General features: G+C 45.7%; 1 protein-coding gene across 6 annotated transcripts in view, besides 2 other annotated features; it reads right to left on the bottom strand.

Annotated features, from left to right (window-relative positions):
• Positions 1–20,945, bottom strand: part of BPHL (biphenyl hydrolase like) — a 35,203-nt gene that overhangs the window by 11,431 nt on the left and 2,827 nt on the right. For 3 of the 6 annotated variants that reach the window (NM_001302777.1, XM_047419266.1, NM_004332.4), the window contains 5 exons: positions 18,388–18,491; positions 14,740–14,906; positions 12,950–13,103; positions 4,655–4,786; positions 1,639–1,762 (listed from right to left, as the gene is read on the bottom strand). In NM_001302777.1, coding sequence (NP_001289706.1) covers positions 1,639–1,762; positions 4,655–4,786; positions 12,950–13,103; positions 14,740–14,906; positions 18,388–18,491 — 681 coding nt within the window. Of the gene's footprint in view, positions 1–1,638; positions 1,763–3,968; positions 4,108–4,654; positions 4,787–12,949; positions 13,104–14,739; positions 14,907–18,387; positions 18,492–20,945 lie in introns of those variants that run through there. The other 3 variants (NR_026648.2, NR_026649.2, XM_047419267.1) reach the window with 2 other exon arrangements.
• Positions 2,725–2,804: an enhancer, noted in NCBI's record as "active region_23883". NCBI's record gives its function as "activates an Ori minimal core promoter by ATAC-STARR-seq in GM12878 lymphoblastoid cells {active_cell/tissue: GM12878}" and the evidence as "EXISTENCE:reporter gene assay evidence [ECO:0000049][PMID:35858748]".
• Positions 8,005–8,661: an enhancer, noted in NCBI's record as "H3K4me1 hESC enhancer chr6:3133721-3134377 (GRCh37/hg19 assembly coordinates)". NCBI's record gives its function as "activates a minimal SCP1, AML or CMV promoter by ChIP-STARR-seq in naive H9 embryonic stem cells {active_cell/tissue: H9 hESC(naive)}" and the evidence as "EXISTENCE:reporter gene assay evidence [ECO:0000049][PMID:30033119]".

Raw genomic sequence — 20,945 nt, 5'->3', positions numbered from 1 at the left:
AAACTGTGCCTCAAAAAAAAAACAAACAAAAAAAACTTTTGCAAGGATTAATAAGAAAGTATACTACTGGAATTTTGTACCATGACCATAACTTAGTATTATAATTTTATAAAGTCTAGTTTGAAAATACCTTTTATTCGCTACTAAATAAATTTATACTTATTTATTTATTTCTGAGACGGAGTCTCACTCTGTCACCCAGCTGGAGTGTAGTGGCATAATCTTGGCTCACTGCAACCTCCGCCTCCCAGGTTCAAGCGATTCTCCTGACTCAGCTTCCTGAGTAGCTGGGGTTACAGGCACCCGCCACCATGCCCGGCTAATTTTTGTATTTTTAGTACAGATGGGGTTTCGCCATGTTGGCTAGGCTGGTCTTGAACTCCTGGCCTCAAGTGAACCGCCTGCCTCAGCCTCCCAAAGTGCTGCAATTACAGGTGTGAGCCACTGTGCCCAGCCCCTACTAAATCAATTTAAAAACTCCAAGCTGGGAGTGGTGGCTCATGCCTGTAATCCCAGCACTTTGGGAGGCCAAGGCAGGCGGATCACGAGGTCAGGAGTTTGAGACTAGCCTGGCTAACATTGTGAAACCCGTCTCTACTGAAAATACAAAAAATTAGCTGGGCGTGGTGGCGCACACCTGTAATCCCACCTATTTGGGAGACTGAGGTGGGAGAATCGCTTGAACCTGGGAGGCGGAGGTTGCAGTTAGCCGAGATCGTGCCACTGCACTCCAGCCCAGGTGACAGTGCGAGACTCCGACTCCAAAAAAAAACCAACTCCCTCATTAAACCTCTTTGTCCACCCGCAGTATAATCCTGCCTAACTCCCACCTTTGCTCTTCACTGACTCTATGCTCTTACCAAATGAATTATTTGTTATACAGGCTCATGTGTATTTTTGATTCATGGTTGAAGTGGTATAGGAGGAATGTGTGGAATAAAGAGATGCCTGTTAACTTAAAAAATGCTAAATGGATATAGCACTATCCATTATGGATATAGTAATTATAAAGGTTTATGGTAATTGTATTTTATTATAGAAAAGAAACTTTTTTTCCTCCTTTAAAAATTCTCTGAGAAATCTGTTGTTAAATACATCATAGAACAGAGCGAGAAGGGAGCAGTGGAGCTGTTTCTGTGCCTGCTTTCCCTGCTGGCCTGGGGGCTTTAGGGACAGGGAACACTACCATTAACTGTGCTGAGTAGGGCTGGCTGTCAGCAGACATCAGAAATTTGGTTTAACAGATTTTTTTAAATTGGGTGGTCAGTGCTTTTATAATGATAAAAAACTAAACTGAAAATTCCCAAATTGTGTGAAACTGTTTCGGTTAATACTGATGGAAATAAATCTAAACTATTACCAAGTGACAGGGCTTAGCACCTATGAGCATGTTTGCCACTCATGAAAGTAAGAGCTGTCTATCTGAACATGCCTTTCCTTCTGGTTATCAGTCACCCACAGTTCAGGGCTTCTCTCTTCCGTGGTACCCTAAATAAAGCGGTGCTACTGACTGGCATTGGCAAAAGGGGGGCTGTGCACTCTAAAACTCCAACTCCTCTTGGTTATTTTCCTTCCAGTAGCTTTGCCCATTGACTCCGAGGCTCTCGGGGGGAGTGTGAAGGCGGTGACAGGACTTACCGTGAGCCTTTCACGTGCTTATGAATGAAGTCGGCATGAAACCGTGGGACCAGAGGATCCTTCTCACCGTGCACAATCAAGGCGGGGCACTGGACCCGGGGCAGCAGGTGCCGGCAGATGTTACCTGACGGATACACAGCACGAGGAATCTGCTTTAGTGCAACCATTCTACGCGGTCAGAGGAGGCGAAACTCGGCGAGCCCTGCCCCTCCTTGGCCCTCAGTTTCCCTATCCGTAAAAACTGTGTTTTGGATTTGACCGTGCCTGGGATTCCTTCCAGCTCTAACATTCTTTGGGTTCCCTTTTCTGTTTCTCTCTGTTTCTTGTTTGTTTGCCTGTTTCTGAGTTCTACTAGTAAATAAGCAGCCTGATTTAAATTCGCATAAAATAGTAGGAAAATCAAATAAACACCCCACCACTATATTCCACAGTGGCGGTTCCCACCGTGAAAACAGTGGTAGGTGCTTGACACCTGTAGAGCTTTTCCCTGGAAATCACGTTTCAGATGAGTGTAGGGGCCCCGGCCAGCCCTCAAAGCATATGAACCTCACAAGGAATTAATTATACAACTTGCGCACGGTAAAGCAGCTTCTCCTTATCGCTGATGCATCTGTGACACTCCTGACTAACATACTTTGGAGAGACTGTAAGGACTTACCCCCATTTATGAGAACTTTCCTGAGGCAATGATGGACAGCCTGGGCCCTAGTCCCTGTACTGCAGTTTCCTGCCTCTGTGAGGCTGTGGTGGCTCCTTAACCACTGGGAGCTTCAGCCACAAACAGGAACAATCACAGTTCCCCGGGGCTGTTGTGGGGCTAAAAAGAGAGTTGCGTCTGCGGTTCCTGGCATCCCTAAGCTAGCTCTTTCCTTCTCCATTCCCTCTCCGTGTGTGTCAAGAGGAAGGCACTGCAGCTCTGAGAAGGCTGGGAGCTGCCCCGACGGGGCAGTGCTCCCCCGCCCTGCACGGGCCCCAGGCCTTTCCCTCCTCTTCAGTGGGAAGTCACTGCCTGCTAAGTGAGAAGCGGACCTGCTGACTAGGGAAATACTTCTCCAGGTCTCTGACACTTCCCTCTCCTGTCCCGAGATGACACACACCGGCCAGCTGCATCATCACGTGATGATCAAAGTCAACATGCCTGAGTGCTCACTTGGTGCCAGCAACTGTTTAAACAATTTCACATCTGTTAAACACAGTAGTTACATGTTTTAACTCATTCAGCATATAAAAATGTTTGTTCATTAAGGACTTCTGTAATAACAGTAATACCAACCTTTCACTAGACACTTACTCTGTCTTTGATCCTGCACCAAAGCTGAATAGATAATACCTCATTTAATCCCCACAACAACAGCTTTTCGAGGTCACAGATAGGAAACCGAAGCTTCAAGAAGCTAAGTTACCTGCCCAGATCCATTCTAACAGCAAGCCGGGGACACAGGCAGAACTCACACTCAGGGCCATCGCACTCCAGAGCCGTGCAATGCAATGAATCCCTACACTATACCAAGCATCCATAAACCTGAGAGGACAGTCGGAAAAGAGGGCTCCTACCAAATGAGTCAGCACAGAAGGGGGACGCATCACGAAGGCCCTCGCTGTGAGACAGTTTATACACTGCTACAGCCTCTGTATCATGAACGTATTTTTGAATTGCTGATTTAACCCTATTTCCACCTTTAAATCTTCCTGTCTTTTCACTACTCTCTTCAACAAAACATCCAAGTTTACATTTTACAAATGTGCCCTCTTTAATGGAGAACTGTCTCAAACATCGTTTCATGGCATTTTTTTGTTTTAAGAGCAGAGATTTCCAGGGCCTGTCTCCATGGGTGGATGCTGCATCTGAACAGAAACATTATAAGGCATACATTTGATATATTTGCTGTTTTCAACTCAAACCAGAAGAGTAACATTTCCAAATGTCCTTTTCATTGTGAAAGTTTTGGCAGATGATTCATGCAGGAAATGATTACCTAATGGATCAAATTGGTCCTTCAATCACAACCATTTTGTAACAATGCACTCCAAGATTAGATCTTAGCTACTCTATTTTCTCAGTAATTAAAAAAAAATGAGATTATAAACATAAACAGCTGTATGAAAATAAACTATAATTCAGAATTTCTCTTAAAGATGTCAATTCTTACTTTAACTGGAAATCTTGTTAATTTTTCAGATAAAGAATAGGAGGCTGGGCATGGTGTCTCAGGCCTGTAATCCCAGCAATTGGGAGGGCCAAGGTGGGCGGATCACGAGGTCAGGAGATCAAGGCCATCCTGGCCAACATGGTGAAACCCTGTCTCTACTAAAATACAAAAAAAATGTGCCTGTGTGGTGGTGCACGCCTGTGGTCCCAGCTACTTGGGAGGCTGAGGCAGAGCAATCGCTTGAACCCAGGAGACAGAGATTGCAGTGAGCTGAGATCATGCCATTGCATTCCAGCCTGGTGACAGAGTGAGACTCCATCTAAAAAAAAAAGAATAGGAGACATTTGTGCATTGTTCATGGTTACAGTCATATCACTTAGTTCTGAAGATGGAAAAAACAGAATATTTTCTTCCTCATATTAATTCCGTTGAGATTAAAGATTAACAGTGTCCTCGTGGGGAGACACATCTAAATGTGTAAAAAGGAAAAAATATTGTACACATTGTGGCCTATTTATTTTCGAATTACTCATTCTGGAATTAGAAAATAGAAACGGTTTAAGGCTTCTGGATAATTATTTTGTCATCGCACACACACCAAGGATTAGAAGGAAAAAAGAGCAGTCTGCTATTAAAGACTCAACAATGTGAACCTTTGGACACGCAGTCCTACCTCTCCGTTAAGCCAGATTGACTGCCCAAGAACTGGCACAGTACACAAGAACTAGTATTCTCTGTTCTGCTCACACATGAGCGTGTGAGGGCGATGGGCAGATTCATGAATCACTGAGCAATTCCAGAACACTGGGGAGGAACTCGAGCACCCTCTATAACAGGCAGAGAGCCCTTCAAGCCCAGTAACCTACCATCTGGGAGATGTTTAAACTGTCTTATGCCATCCACCCACTTTTCACAGGTTCTGGCAAAGTAGTCATACCCATAGAGGGCTTCTAGAGGCTTTCTTGTTCTCTCACTCCATTTGGAAACATCTCGGATGCCTGAAAAACAGAAGTGTAGGCGAAGAAAGGTTTAATTTCATACTAAAGTATTGTCTTTAAGTATTCTGAGCAAGAGCCACTTCTGAGCCCATGCGCTCACTGTCTCGTCTGCCTGGAATGCCTCCCTCCCTCCCTCTGCTCGGCTTAGCCCTGGTTGCTGCTTTGCGGTGCCTTCTGGACCCAGGGCTGAGTGCCTGCCTCCCACTAGGACCTGTGTGCAGTGTAAGGGACTTTGCTTTGCTCCCCACTGTACCCCAGGGCCTACACTAGTGCCTCCCACAATACAGGCCCACAAATCAATGCTTACCAAGTGGATGAAATTAGAGCTGCACTTACCGCTTTCCTTTAAAGATACAAGATAAAAGAAAATATGACCCTAACAGGGTCACCTGAGGAAGAGCGACAATGTTTGCAAAAGAGGAGTTTTTTTCTGCATTGCATTTGTATGGACATTGAAAAATGCACACAAATTATTCATTCTAATTTCTGCTACCGAAGAAATATGGGTGTAAAAGGCTAAGTACCAAACTTCAAACTGTATTATAGATGATTCACTAGTAGGGAAGAATAGCTAAAAACAACCATTAACATGAATCAACAAATGCAATTCCTTAGGCCAATGTTTTCTATATTTCTTTAAATACACTGTGATAAGTAAAGATTCTAATGCTCTTGAGCATATTAAATATTGCTTCCTGAGAGCTACACGTTACACATGGAAGAAATATAACACTAATGGCATGAACTCACATGAGCAACAATCTCTACAGAGTCCCGGACAACGTCAGGCACCTGGCAGGCACTCACTGTGTGCTTAGTGAATTCAAATCACCAAATGGAGGAAAAACTGCTATTTACAATCACAACTGCCTTCTGAGGAGGGCGGATCCCCCATTACAGGACAGTGCCTGGTGCCTGCCTTTGCTTCTGCTGACTGGCTTAAATATTCAGAGGTAGGCCCCGTGTGAGCTGAAGATAAAGGCTGAAGAGGATGAACTGCTCTGCACAAGAATGAAAAGACTTGAATGAGGTACGTGGAGACAGCCTGAAGAGGTGGGGAGAAGATGTAGGAAGAAGAAAACATTTGGGGGCGGAGGGTAAGGGAGAGAGAAGCAAGCAAGACAGTGTGAAGATGGCTAGCAAAACGTCCCTGCACATGCTTCTACTTTTGGCCGTATGGCAGACCATACCCTCTGAAAGGCCTTCTTGCAGGGGAATAACTAGATCTTTCACAAAACAGAATTCTGTGGCATTGCTGAAGTTGCAGTGGTTAATGGAAACCGGGGTGTGAGTGTGTATGAGTGTGTCTGCACATGAGAAACAGAACCCTGAAAATACAGCAAAGGAAGTAAGCCAGCTCCAAAGGCAGGCCTGCTCTGGGTGGAGACGCAGTGTTCGCAGGCAGGCCGGGGCCCAACCTGAGACTCCTGGATCAAGCTGAGCTAAAAATGGCCCCAACCTGGTATGATCCTGTGGTTCCCAAGAGCAACAAATGCAAATCTTCCCGGAAGGAAAGCGCTCTCGATTTATGCTCACTGCTTTGTTTATTTTCAGATTAAGAGTGAGTAAATATTAGCTCCTAACCAAAGGTCACAAAACAAACAGGATTTTTATAAAGTTAATAAAAAAACTAGAAAATTGGAAGACAAATCTTAAGAAATTATGCAGAACACCACGCAGAGAGACACGACGATGCAGAAGAGATAAGGAAGATGGAAAGACGAGGTTTACAAAAGTCCGCTCGTCTCAGAAGAAGAGAATAAGAATGAACGAGATGCCTATTTGAAGAAATAATGGGTGGGAGAGTTTTTCAGAATGAATCAAAGAATCCATAAACAAAAACGCAATGTATTCCAAACAGGACAAGTAAAATGAAATCTGCATTTGGACAGAATATATTAAAACAGCAATATATCAAAGGTAAGGAGAAAATCTGAAAAACAGCCAGAGAGTTAAGACACATCACTCCGAAGCAGGAACCACGTAGACGGACAGGAAACTTCTCAACAGCAAGGATGGAAGGCAGAAGACTGCAGAATGGGGGAGACAATGATTTTCCACTTCCATTTCCACACTCAGCTAAACAGACTTACAGAAAAGGTGGATGAAAGAAAAGACACTTGTTGGTAAAAACTGAGTTGACCATTAACAGGCTGCCCTTAAATAACTTCTAAAAATAACTTCAGGAAGAAGAGAAGATAAATGCTTTTAGAAGGAACATTTGAGAAGAAAGAACAGGTGAGTAAACAAATGGGCAAACATGTTGGTGGATCTAAAATCAAACAAAACCAGCCAAACCAATGAGAAAATAAAACATTGTGAGGCCGGGCGGCATGGTGGCTCACACCTGTAATCCCAGCACTTCGGAAGGTTGAGGTGGGTGGATTACTTAAGTCCAGGAGTTCAAGACCAGCCTGGGCAATGTGGCGGAACCCCGTCTCTACAAAAAATACAAAAATTGGCCAGGCGCGGTGGTTCATGCCTGTAATCCCAGCACTTTGGGAGGCCGAGGCAGGCGGATCACGAGGTCAGGAGATCGAGACCATCCTGGATAACACGGTGAAACCCCGTCTCTACTAAAAATACAAAAAAATAGCCGGGCGTGGTGGCAGGCGCCTGTATTCCCAGCTACTCGGGAGGTTGAGGCAGGAGAATGGCGTGAACACAGGAGGCGGAGTTTGCAGTGAGCCGAGATCACGCCACTGCGCAGCCTGGGTGACAGAGCGAGACTCCGTCTCAAAAAAAAAAAAAAAAAAAATTAGCCAGGTGCGGTGGCACACGCCTGTAGTGCCAGCTACTTGGGAGGCTGAGGCAGAAGGATAGTTTGATGTTGAGCAAGCAGGCTGCAGTGAGCTGAGATGGTGCCACTGCACTCCAGCCTGGGCAATAGTGGAGACCCTGTCTCAAAAAAAAAAAAAAAAAAGGAAAGAAAAGAAAAAGAAAAAGGAAAGAAAAACAAAACACTGTGGCATTTCCTTACATTAAGTAGTTCTGCCCATAAAGAAAAAGGCAAAAGCCACCCACTGTGAAGAGGTGCTTGCAACACAGTTACCCTAAAAGGGGTTACTGACTAGGATTAGAGTAACACTGGGATAACATTGAAACTGTTCTGGTGCTGAGTTGGGTGGACAGCGGCGGGGTCGTTTTGTTGTTACATTTCATACTGTATACCCAAACATACTGTATTGTGTGTATCAATTATTACATAACAAAAAACTTTTCACCAATAAAAATACATGGATATAATACAGAAGAAACTCAAATGGTGGATAAACACAGATTTTCAATCTTATTAGTAATACGAAATGCAAATTAAGACCCCAATAAGATAATATCTTACACCCATTTGATTGGCTAGTGAATTAAGAAGTCTGAGAATTTCAAGTTTTTGTTGAAGAGCTAAAAGTTAAGAATCTCATCTATTGCTGGTGGAAGTGTAAATTTATTTTGCTGGAAAATAATCTGTCACTTGTAATGTAGTCTACCTGCCCACAACACTCAGCAATTTCACTCATGGACTTAGACCCTAGAGAGATACTGTTGCTCCTACACCCCAGGAGACGGGTACAAGAACCAGCCGTCCATCTGTAGCAGAGTGGCCTGTGTGCTCACACGGGCAGTGGACACGGGGTGGCGGCGGTGAGGGCTTCCTAGAAGATGGAATGCTTGGGCCATTCTGGGAGAAGAGAAGTCAGCAAACAAGTGAAGGAGTGGGAAGGGAGCGGGAAGGGCCCACACAAGGAGGCAGGAGCCCGCCACCTGCTGCAGGGACCCAGGTGGTCTCGGATGGCTGGACACTGGTGGTTGGGAGGGGAAAGTGGGGGGAGGGGACCTGGAGAGGCAGAGGCCGGGCCACTCATTCCGTGAGCAAAGTGAAGGAGCCTGAACTTTATCAGGAAAGTTGTGGGGAGTCCTGGAAGGCTTAAAGTAAGACACCATGAGATTCACATATTGCTGAATTGCTATCAGAGCATCATGGAAGGCAGACTGGTAGGAGGCAAGGACCTGGACCGGTTGGAGAGGCACAGAATCAGCCCAGACGGGACCAACGAGGCTGGCGGGAGCCTGGTGGGAGGGAGAGAGGGGTAGGGCAAGATGGGGCCACTCAGAGCCCAGCAGAAGAGAAGAGTGCAGTGAGCTGCAGGCCGCAGTGTGGGGGATGTGGTCTGGAAGGTTTCCTCACTTTTGTGAGCCCCCGTTTTTCACTTGACAAGCAGGCTGAGAATCAGAGACCTTACATGGATATCACGTTGTTAAAGACTTTAGCTCACGGCAGGCACTCAATAAATAGTAATTAAAATATTATTTTCAGGGAGAAAGAGTATTATTTATAATGACAAGAAATTTAGCAGAAGGGACAGGCCTAGAGAGAAGATCATGAATTCAGTATTAGACAGACTGAATTTAAAGTAGGTGTGAGACAACCAGATAAGAAAATTGAATAAAAAGTTGAATAAGGCAACATAGTGAGAACTCGTCTTTTTCTTTTCTTTCTGTTTTTTTCTTTTGGTTGTTGTTGTTGCTGTTGTTGGGACAGGGTCTCGCCTCTGTCACCCAAGCTACAGTGCAGTGGTGTAATCACAGATCACGGCAGCCTCAACCTCCCCGGCTCAGGTGATCCTCCACCTCAGCCTCCCAAATGGCTGGGACTACAGGCACATGCCACCACACCTGACTACGTTTTGTATTTTTTTGTAGACACGGGGTCTTGCTACGTTGCCCAGGCTGGTCTTGAACTCCTGGGCTCAAGTGATCCTCCTGCCTCAGCCTCCCAAAGTGCTGGGATTACAGGTGTGAGCCACCACACCCAGTGAGAATTTGTCTCTTAAAAAAAAACAACAGTCGAACATGTGGGGTTTGGGAGTTAGGTGGAGCAAGGAGCTGAGTGAAGCTACTCAGGTGTGAGGTGTGAGGGTAAGAGGGGAGCAGAGCACTGAGGGTGACGCCTGGAGGACCCCAACACTGTGGCCCACATGGGGGAGCAGGCACGTGTCAGCCAGGGAACAGCCTGAGAGAGGAGGGAAGTCGGGAGAACACGGTGGCAAGAACTTCCAGACAGAGAAAGCTTCAAGAAGAGGGGTGTAACCAATGGCGCACACATCATGAGCATGTTCTCAAACGCTGCAGAATGACCAAGGAGCCAAGAGGAGGTGCGTGGTGGGGGCTTGGTCTCTAGCACACTGGCGGGCCACAGCCATCTTGACACAAGTTAGGAGAGGATGGGGGATGAAAAAGAAAGAGTAGCCAGGAGGGGAAGTAGCGAGACGTCAGAGAGTAAAGAGTGCTGCGCTACTGAGAGACTCTTGCTTTCATCAAGAAAGGAAAGTCAGAGCAACTGCACACAGTGAGTTCCCACTGCGGTGACCGAGGCAAGGGAGTAAGTGCTGACAGTGCCCGGGGTTGAAGGGCCGTGACACAGGCACGTGCAAGGTGTGGCGGGGTCCAGGAGGGAGAGCACCGCCAGGTCTCAGGGCTCCGGGACGCCATCCCAGACGCGGAGGCCCAAGGAGCTGTGTCAGGGGTGAATATGCCCTGGCAGAGGATGTGGCTGAGGGGAAGGCTGGTGCAAGCTGGCACAGCAGCAGTTGCAAAGGCGAAGAGGCATGAGGGGGAAGCTTGTTCCAGGAATGGCCATTTATCCCACGTGGGAGAGGCACCGGAAGGATGAGGAGAAAGGGGAGATGGGAGAATGTCCGGGGAGGGGCTGGCAGGAGGGGCCAGCCAAACTGCACGGACTTTGCTGGTTAGTGAAGGATTTTAAGTCCTCTAGTGGAATTAAGTGATTAGATTTTTGCCTTACAAAGGAAACTCTCCTATGGAGAACAAACTACCATATGAAGCTAGCGGCCTAAACCAGGAGAATGTGGGGAAAGAAGAGAGGTGAGGATAACTGGAGGGGTATTATGTAACAACAGAAAGCATCACAGTTCAATGAACAGGGCAAGGTGGGCAAATGAAGAGGGCAGAGGAGGACTGGGCCCTCGAGGGATGCATCTGGGACTCTGCCTGGATGCCGGGTCATCTGCAGGCCATGAACTGAGATAGTGATTATGGGAAAGAACAAGTGGGCAGGGGTCAGTGAGGAGAGTTTCAGTAGAGGGGGCTAGAATGGGCCAGAGAGGGAGATGGGGCAGAATGGACTAAAGAAGGAAGGAAAGGAGGATCCCTAGAAGCAGGGAATGCAGGTGGCTCTTTCCATAAGTTTGTGGGAAAGAATAAAGAATGGGAAGATAGTAACCACAGGTAGGAGTGGCAACTTTCTGGAGGAAGAATTGTGCCCACTTTTGCAGGCTGAGAGGACTGACCCAGTGGAGAGAATTTAAGGATACAGGAGAGGGAGGAAGAACTCAAGGCAGCCTGTCCTAGAGGCCGCGGGAGGGGACAGACCCTTCACAGAGCGGAATGGCCTACTGTGCACAAGATGGATACCAGGCAGGAGCAAAATAAGGACAAGCAGGAGCACAGACAGGACTGGCAACCACATCAGACTCACCGTAAGAGCTTCATATTCATTTAAAAAACAGAAAGACTGTGAAGAACTACAATTCTACAACAGAACGCTGCCACTAAGTAGCGTACTTAAAAGTCACGTGAATTGTCGAATAGCTGAAAAAGACTAGACTTGTGATATTCTAGCGAAGAGATCTGTACACCTTTTATGTAAAGGGCCAGAGAGTAAATAAATATTTTAGGTTTTGCTGGCCAAGAAGCAAAATCAAAGACATTATGTAGATACTTACACATGAGGAGAGAAAACACCTGACCCACCTAGTCCTAAGTGTCTGGGGCAGGCCATCTGGGATCCACTAGACTCACACTTGGACAAAAAGCTAGTGGCCTGAGGAAGAGGGTCCTGGTGGGCCAGGCTGGCAGGTGGGGGTAGTAGGGTAACGCAGGTCAGTTTCACTTCTTGTCCTAGCAACCCCTAGATCCTGGTGCACCCTTCTTTCCTCCCAAGAGCCTGGTCATCTCAATGGGGCAGCTTGCTGGAGGCTAAGCAACTCCTGAGTTGCTGACTGAAATTCCATGGCTGGGTGCCTGCTCATTGCCAACAGTCACCCCTGTGTAGTGACCACCAGTGCAGGTCTGGGGCAGCAATGCTGGGTGGTAAAGGGACACCCCAGCTTGGTCTCTGTGACTCACAGCACTAGCCACCTCGATTGGTACGTGGGCTGCACAAAAGTGGGAGGCAGGCTAGGTGTAATGCACAGGCTGAAGTTCACTGGCCCCTATTCCAGTGCCTGTAAAGACCTCAGGCTGGGCGTGGGGGCTCACGCTGGTAATCCCAGCACTTTGGGAGGCCAAGGCAGGTGGATCACCTGAGGTCGGGAATTCGAAACCAGCCTGACCAACATGGAGAAACCCCGTCTTTACTAAAAAACACAAAATTAGCCAGGCATGGTGGCACATGCCTGTAATCCCAGCTACTTGGGAGGGTGAGGCAGGAGAATCGCTTGAATCCAGGAGGAAGAGGTTGTGGTGAGCTGAGATCGCACGACTGCACTCCAGCCCAGGCAACAAGAGTGAAACTCAAACTCAAAAAAAAAAAAAAAAAACCTCAAAGACAGGCTTGAAGGACAACGTTAAAGCATGCAAATAGCACAGAAATTCTTTTAATCAAAATAAAAGGTTTCATATTTGTATCCAGTGATTCTTTTCCACACTCAACATTATTTTCTTTCCTCCCCCATCTCTCTCTCACTCCTGTCACCCAGGCAAAAGTGCAGTGGCACAATCATGGCTCACTGCAGCCTCGACCTCCTGGGCTCAAGCGATCCTTCTGCCTTGAGCTCCCAAAGTGCTGGGATTACAGGCATGAGCCACTGTGCCTGGCCTCACAGTATTTTAAATGAGATTATTAATAACACTTCACACCACCCCCTCCTTCCCTGAAGTTCATTATCAGTAGTAGTAAATAGAAATAGTGATTTTACTTAGCCTTTTCCTGAGCCATGGAAGTTTCACTCCTGGAAACAGAAAGCTTTAAAACTCAGACTGGTTAAACTGCATTACTTTTCTGAGAACTCGTTATTCTTCCTACCTGAGAGTTGAGAACTAGAAGCACGAGAGATGTGTCTTGTCAACATATCCCACAATAAGAGATGAGATGCGGAGAGAGGGGAAGGATCTGCCGTCCCGGCATCTCCCCTTCGCAGAACCTACCCTCATATATCATGCTGTCTTCGTCAGTGACGTAGGCGTTGGCGCCCCAGATCACCATCTTGTGGATGTAAGATGGATATTTTGCAGCAGCAATGAGTGCGGTTATGCCCCCATCACTCCACCCCAGCAGAGAAACCTTCTTAAACTTCAGCGCCTATGATCATACGACAAAATGCACGGCACGGGTTATTGCTCCTCTCTGTTAAAAGAAACTGAATCACTAATTATCAGAATCAATACAGGTGTGAGGCTGGAGTATCAATTAGTCAGAAAAGAAAAACCCTAGAGTCCACCATTTGATGACATCATGTTTTCTCTTAATTACTTTTAGTGGAAATTGTCACAAAAACCTGAGCATACGGTATGGGTTTGAATTAGGAGGGAACTACATCTTCTGGTTGGATAAAAAGCTCAAGGAACTAGAATCAATGGAGACCAAGTACTTAAATATGACAAATACAGCATACGTGTGTATGCGTGTGCACGTGTGTGCATATGCATGCCTGAGCAAGGACCTTGAGAACAGTTCTGTAGATCAGAGAGGGGACCCTGAGCTCTGCTGGATGGAGTGAAGCAGGGTATCTGGTAAAGCAACTGTGGGAAGAACTGGCAAGAGCCAGGCTGTCAGAGAACAGCGTCATGGGGAGGTTGTGTGAGTCCGCGGGTGAATCAGAGAGGGTCTGGACATGCGTTTGGCAGGGAAAATGGACAAAGATTACATCTTAGAGAGGCCGCCAAGAAAAAAGAATGGAATGACTGGAAAATTAAAGGTAAAGAATTAATATTACTCCAAGATATTTGCTGCCCGGACCATAAAATGGTGTAACTACTGTGGCACTATCCTGCAAAATGAACATCTGGAACTTCCATCACCTAGCAAATTGTCTCCTAAATGTGTATGAAATTCTCCCTGTGTGCCAGGAGCTCAGTCCAGGATGTCCACAACAATACTGTTTATAGTGGCAAAAAAATGAAAATGCCCACGAGCAACAGAATGTTCACTGCCTGCTATTTATAACAGCAGAAAAAGGCAACTTAAAAATTAAGTTAATTATCTACTATTAGAAAACTGGTGAAATAGGCCAGGTGTGGTGGCTCATGCCTGTAATCCCAGCACTTTGGGAGGCCAAGGTGGGTGGATCATGAGGTCAGGAGATCGAGACCATCCGGACTAATGCGATGAAACCCTGTCTCTACTAAAAATACAAAAATTAGCTGGGCATAGTGGCATGTGCCTGTAATCCCAGCTACTCAGGAGGCTGAGGCAGGAGAATCGTTTGAACCCGGGAGGCAGAGGTTGCAGTGAGCCAAGATTGCGCCACCGCACTCCAGCCTGGGTGACAGAGCAACACTCTGTCTCAAAAAAAAAAAAAGAAAATTGGTGAAATAAGATACAGTACATCCATACAATGGAATAATATGTGCCTATCATACAACTAGTATAAATGCATATTTATTGACATGAAAGTTATTTCCTTGAAAAATTGTTCAACAAAAATAGTAAGTTAGAAAAACGTTAGGTGTAGCACGATGCCATCAATATGAAACTGCGTTTGTGATGTAATAAGACTGGCCAGAAAGCAGAGCCGCCAAGATTTGGTAGTGTCTCTAGAGAGCTGGACTGTGGGCTATTTCTACTTTCTTCTTTATACCTATTTGAACTCTTGGGGTTTTCTATAGCAATCACATGGTATTATTTTGTAGAAAAATATAACAACAAAATTTAAACAAAATAAATGAAGACAGGCCCAGCCACCCTTCCTCCCCTGGCCCTTCCCTCAGAGACCTACCTTCATCAAATCAACAGCATCTTTTGCATCCCTTTCAAAAAAGTCTGCTGGGAAATCGCGATCTGGGGGCCTGGAATGTCCATAGCCTCGAGGATCCCAGGCGACCACCGTGAAGAGCTTCTTATTGAGGTTCTTGAGCTGAGGTCCAAAATCAGTCTCTCCACTTCCTAAAAACAGCCACTTGGTTACCCTCAGGTGATCGCTTTCACTATCAAACACATTACAGTGAAAACAGAAGCAATAACAATCTTAAAAGCAAAGTAGTTTCTACTCAAAGTGGTCAGAATGTAATCAGGAAAGCAGCCTTGCAATGACTTAATCCATCCACTCGAAGAAAGGAGGCAGGCTGACCGGGTGCGCCTGTAATCCTAGCACTTTGGGAGGCCGAGGCGGGCGGACTGCCTGAGCTCAGGAGTTCGAGACCGGCCTGGGCAACACGGTGAAACCCCATCTCTACTAAAATACAAAAAAAAAAAAAAAAAAAAAATGTAGCCGGGCATGGCGGTGTGCGCCTGTAGTCCCAGCTACTCAGGAGGCTGAGGCAGGAGAATTGCTTGAACCCGGGAGGCGGAGGTTGCAGTGAGCCCAGATCGCGCCATTGCACTCCAGCCTGAGCACAGGGCAAGACTCAGTCTCCAAAAAAAAAAAAAAAAGGGGCCGGGCGCGGTGGCTCACGCCTGTAATCCCAGCACTTTGGGAGGCCAAGGCGGGCGGATCGCTTGAACCAGGGAAGCAGAGGTTGCAGTGAACGGAGATTGCGCCACTGCACTCTACCCTGGTGACAAAGTGCGACTCTGTCCCTCCACCAAAAAAAAAAAAAAAGGAGGCGCGCTTCCTTTCCCGGCGGAGTGCAGGCCTGCCTCCGACCTCCCCCTGGTGGCTATTTTGAGAAAGACAGAGGCCCTGGGTCTTCCTTTGCTTCTGTATTATTTCAGCACTTTTGAAACCTCTTTGGCTTAATCTTCCTTTTCTAAAGGAAAGAATTAATGAAACTGTATACAAATTAATTCACAGATATGCTTCTGGGTTATCTATTCTTCTTAAAACAATGACTTACACATGAGAGGGATCTCTATAATATCTGCAAAGAAATTTATGAGATTTGGTCCAAGTTATTCAAAGTAGAATTCTAAAATTCCAGATTTTTAATTTTTTTTTTTTTTACTAAGCTAAGGTGAATAGCCTAAAGATTTTATTTTGTAGTTATAATTAAAAACCAGGAAAACTAAACAAAAACACTGAAATGCAGAAGGGGTATGGAGGAAAGAAACCAAATCAGTTTCATCAGAACAGTATGAAACAGCCCATGCTAAAAGCTGAATTCTATTAGTGGGCCTGCAGGGAGCTTGGCCGCTAGTCCACAGCCCACCACGTGGTCCCTGTAGGTGTGGTGTGTTCACACCTACTGTGCACAGTGCAGAAGGCCACTCTCACAGAGCCCAGTCCAGGGGCAAGTCAGCATTTTATCAGTGAAGTCTGCTGATTTCTGAGGACTTCTACCTCAGGCCACAAATGACTACTAACCACTTTGCCTGACAAACCATATTAGAAAATGTCTTTCAAGGTGGTGCAGGATCATTCAACATTGTCAAGGCCTATCATTTTTCCTGGCAAGATATATCTTTCCCAAGATCAAGTAAACCATTCAGAAAATTCAAGCCAAAACCAAATGAATAGATCTCCAGCCCACATCTGCTGCTGTGACCCATGAGGCTTCTCTTCTGCCTCTGACCTGGAGGGGTTCTGGCCACGGAAGTACCCTGAAGGAGGGGCAGGAGGTGAGAAGATGGGAAAAAAGAACAGTCTAAAAGACCAATTTCAGAAACAAGAAGGCATTTGCTCCCTGGCACACATGTACACATTTGAAGACCAGTGCCAAGAATATAAAACTTAAAAAAACATTTAAGGAATACATGTACATAGTTATCAGCATGTAACATCTGAGAGGCCTGTGGGGAGGGGAACTGGGTGCTGAGGATAGGACAGGAGAGAGAATCTCCTCTGGTCCATTTTTTTTAATATTGGAATCATGCTAATACTTTACATAAAAAAAAATTAAATTGGGGACAGGTGCTGTGGCTCATGCCTGTAATCCCAGCATTTTGGGAGGCCGGGGCGAGTAGATCACCTGAGGTCAGCAGTTTGAGACCAGCCTGGACAACATGGTGAAATCTCGTCTCTACTAAAAATACAAAATTAGCCAGGCATGGTGGTGCACACCTGTAATCCCAGCTACTCAGGAGGCTGAGGCAGGAGAATCGCTTGAACCTGGGAGGTAGAGGTTGTGGTGAACCAAGATAGTGCCACTGGCTCCAGCCTGGGCAACAGTGAGACTCCCTCTCAAAAAAAAAAAAAAAAATTAAATTGGTAAGTTTTTAGCACCTGGACAATGACTGCAATACCGAAATAATGGAAAGCTAAGATAGGCAATGTTTTTACAGATAACTTTAGCTCCCCATCAGCCATGAGAGTCAGTGTCCTTGTTCATCAGGTTAAGGAAAACAAAGGTACCAAACACCATTTAGACACACGTGCAACAGTGCCACGATCCGCTGAGGCTCAGTCAAGTGGAACCTTTTTAGCACTTCACTTTTAGAAAGAAGCAAATCACAAAGAAATAAGTACAGTCAGCCTTCCTATCCGTGGTTCTACATCTGTGGATTCAACCAACCTCGGAACAAAAATATTTCGGGAAAAAAATGGGTGGTTGGGTCTGTACTGAACATGTACAGACGTTTTTCCTTGTCATTATTCCCTAAACAATACAAAATAACAATTATTTGCACAGCATTTACATTGCATGAGATATGGTAAGTAATCTAGACATGACTTAAAGTATACAGGAGAACATGCGTAGCTTCCATGCAAACATTGAGCTATTTTATATCAGGGACTTGAGGATCCTCAGATTTTGGGATCTGAGGGCTTCCTGGATCCAGTCCCCCAGGAATACTGAGATTAAATATTAGGATTATTTAACTAAATCAAAAATAAAGCAACAATACTAACACCCTTAAAACCAGATTTCGGATGTACTGGAATCACTGCAAATTTTTCCCTTGAACTTTCTACATCTGAACTCCAGTTCTGCAAAATGAGATTGAGATCCAGTAGGCTTTATTATGGCCCATATATTGAGAGAGGGTAATATGCCAATCTAACTCTGATTTCTAAAAAGAATCAAACTGAGGTTTTTTTTTTCTTACCTCTTATTTTAACGGAATATATTATCAACCACAACAAGTGATCAATTCACTCTAGTTTTAGCACTGAAAGTCCCACATCCTGGAAAATCCCCCAACGCCAAGCAAACTAGGATGACTGATTACCCACTCACGTTCCTCCTTTACCTTCTTCCCACACCCCTTTCCTTGACCCCTGTCACCCTCCCAAATTATGGGCAACTGTGATTTCACAGAGTACTTGCAATAGGAAAAACTGGGTACTTTACTAAAGGAATAAAAAATCCAATTCTGAACAGCAGTAGAAAGTTACCTACTTTTCTAAGTCATTTAAGTTTGATTGTAGCAAATATGAAAACATTTCAAAAAAGCACTAAAATTAATCATCAGTATTTGGCATCTAGTATTGTGAATGCATCATAGATTTTACAGCATGCAAAAACATTCCATTAAAAAGTACCCAGACCTAACATCCCAGGAAGTAGCAGGACTGCGTGATCTCCCTCTCCAGTCTGCTGGTAATGCAGCTGAACGCCATTCACAGCCACTTTGGCAGAGGTTACCGAGGTGCTAGAAGAGAAAAAACACATCCCCACAGGGGGAAAGGGGAGATGGGAAGATTTCTTAGTTGATTCAAAATTCCAGCTAGACAGGAGGAATAAGTGTTAGTGTTCTACGCGCTGTAGGATGACTACGGCTAACAATAAGCGATAGTTTAAAATAGCTAGAAGGAAGATACTGAATGTTCCCAACACAAAGACATGATAAATGTTTGAGACGATGGATATGCTAATTACACTGATCTGATCACTACACCTTGTATCTATCGAAACATCACTATCTACCCCATAAACAGGTACACTTATGTCAATTAAAAAATAAAATTTGAAAAATGTTTAAAAATCCACCCCCAGAGGAAAATCATTTAACAGCACGAATTTAATATGATAAAACTGTCTTTGTATATGAATGAGTCGCCTCCAGAACGCCTCTCAGTCTCCTTGGGTTATTTCGATTTTTCCAATTCTGAACAGTGACATGAGTTTGAATTTTCTTTACTAGACTGCCGATCTGAACTGTGCCCTCATGCTTGAATACGCTATTGTGCCCAGCCTGGGGCTCACCCTACAAAAACCCTAGGCGGCTTGCTCAATCAATGGCCACAGAGGCTCATGGCACACGCCGGTGAGCTGGAAGCCAAGGGTCCTCAAGTGCAGGCTGGCGTGAAACGAGGGTGGACATCAGGGGCAGAGACCCTGGAGTCACTCGTCTGCACTCAGCAGGCCCAGAGGACCTACCCAGACCTTCAGCAGCCTTGGTGACATTCCCAAAGATGAGACTGGTCCCAAGGTCTCGATCTCCAGGCTGTTCTTTAGCTGTAGGGTATCCTGTGTTGTCTGGCCTGCTGCAGGAGGGCCATAGTCAACAGTGCCCATCTGCACGGATAAATCCTACTGTTTTTTAAGATGTTAAAATATGTCTGTGTCAACTGCTAAGTAGCCCTGTCCATAAGCCTCCATCTCAAGAGCCCTCCTTCCTGCCACTCACCCGCCTTGGCCTAAGACCTCCTAGGATCCAGCATCTAACTGGACCACACTTAGCACAGGACAACGCCTCAGGACAGGCATAATGCCAGTGTCTGTGCTGCCTGAATTATGGGTGCCGTACAGGTGTTCTGATTAACCTCTCCTCAGCTGCTCTTCGAGGACAGCCAGACTGTCCTGGGATATATACCAGTGGGGCACACAGACGGCCCCTGCACCAGGACCAGGCTCCATCAGCCTTCCCACAGCTTATCAGACAGATGACTGAGTGAAGCACAGGAGGGACATGATGGCAAGCCAGGACAGATGCCAGAAGGAGGCGCTCTCTTCTCCTGGTGGAGTGCCAATACAATGAAATCAACCACCATCTCCTTTTATTTTTATTTTTATTTATTTATTTTTTGAGATGGAGTCTCACTCTGTCGCCCAGGCTGGAGTGCAGTGGCGCCATCTCGGCTCACTGCAAGTTCCACCTCCCGGGTTCACACCATTCTCCTGCCTCAGCCTCCCAAGTAGCTGGGACTACAGGCACCCGCCACCACGCCCGGCTAATTTTTTTGTATTTTTAGTAGAGACGGGGTTTCACCCTGTTAGCCAGGATGGTCTCAATCTCCTGACCTCGTGATCTGCCTGCCTCAGCCTCCCTAAGCGCTGGGATTACAGGCCCGGCCCATCTCCTTTTTCTTCTACATACTCTCTACTCCTACCTCTGCCCTTAGTCAAAGGATAACTGAAACACAGCCCTTTTGAAAAAATGAGGTCCTGTTTTATCTTTTGGTTTAATCTTATTTGCCAGTCTCAAGTAAAAAAGAAACAAACGTGGAAACAGATGTGTTGAATACAGGTACATCTACTCTTAACATACCATTTCTGGAAAAATAAAAGACAGAATTGGGTAGTAATAAGGTCTGACTAAACTATAAGCTCCTTATCTACAGAAATATTATTAAAGGGGCATCAATGAAGCCACCAAGCAATGGCAATACTGACTCTGCCATTTACTTATTATGATTACTGCCCTATTCCTCTGAGAAATTCATTTCTACAGTTAAGATAGCTTAGGATCGGCCAGGTGTGGTGGCTCACACCTGTAATCCCGATACTTTGGGCGGCCCAGGTGGGTGGATCACGAGGTCAGGATCACGAGGTCAGGAGATCAAGACCATCCTGCCCAACATGGTGGAACGCCATCTCTACTAAAATACACACAAAAAAATTAGCCCGGCATGGTGGTGCACACCTGTAATCCCAGCTACTCAGAAGGCTGAGGCAGGGGAATCGCTGGAACCTGGGAGGTGAAGATTACAGTGAGCCGAGATCGTGCCACTGCACTCCAGCCTGGTGACAGAGAGAGACTCCGTCTCAAAAAAAAAAAAAAAAAAAAAAAAAAAGAAACTGCTATTATCATATTGTATGTTCAGCTATTTCTTTTGTGTATGTTTTGTGAAGTAGCCATTATCTACAATAAAGTATTTGCTAC

The sequence above is a fragment of the Homo sapiens genome, chromosome 6, assembly GCF_000001405.40.
Source record: "Homo sapiens chromosome 6, GRCh38.p14 Primary Assembly".
NCBI classification, from domain to species: Eukaryota; Metazoa; Chordata; class Mammalia; order Primates; family Hominidae; genus Homo; species Homo sapiens.
This window is presented reverse-complemented; position numbering and strand designations above follow the sequence as displayed.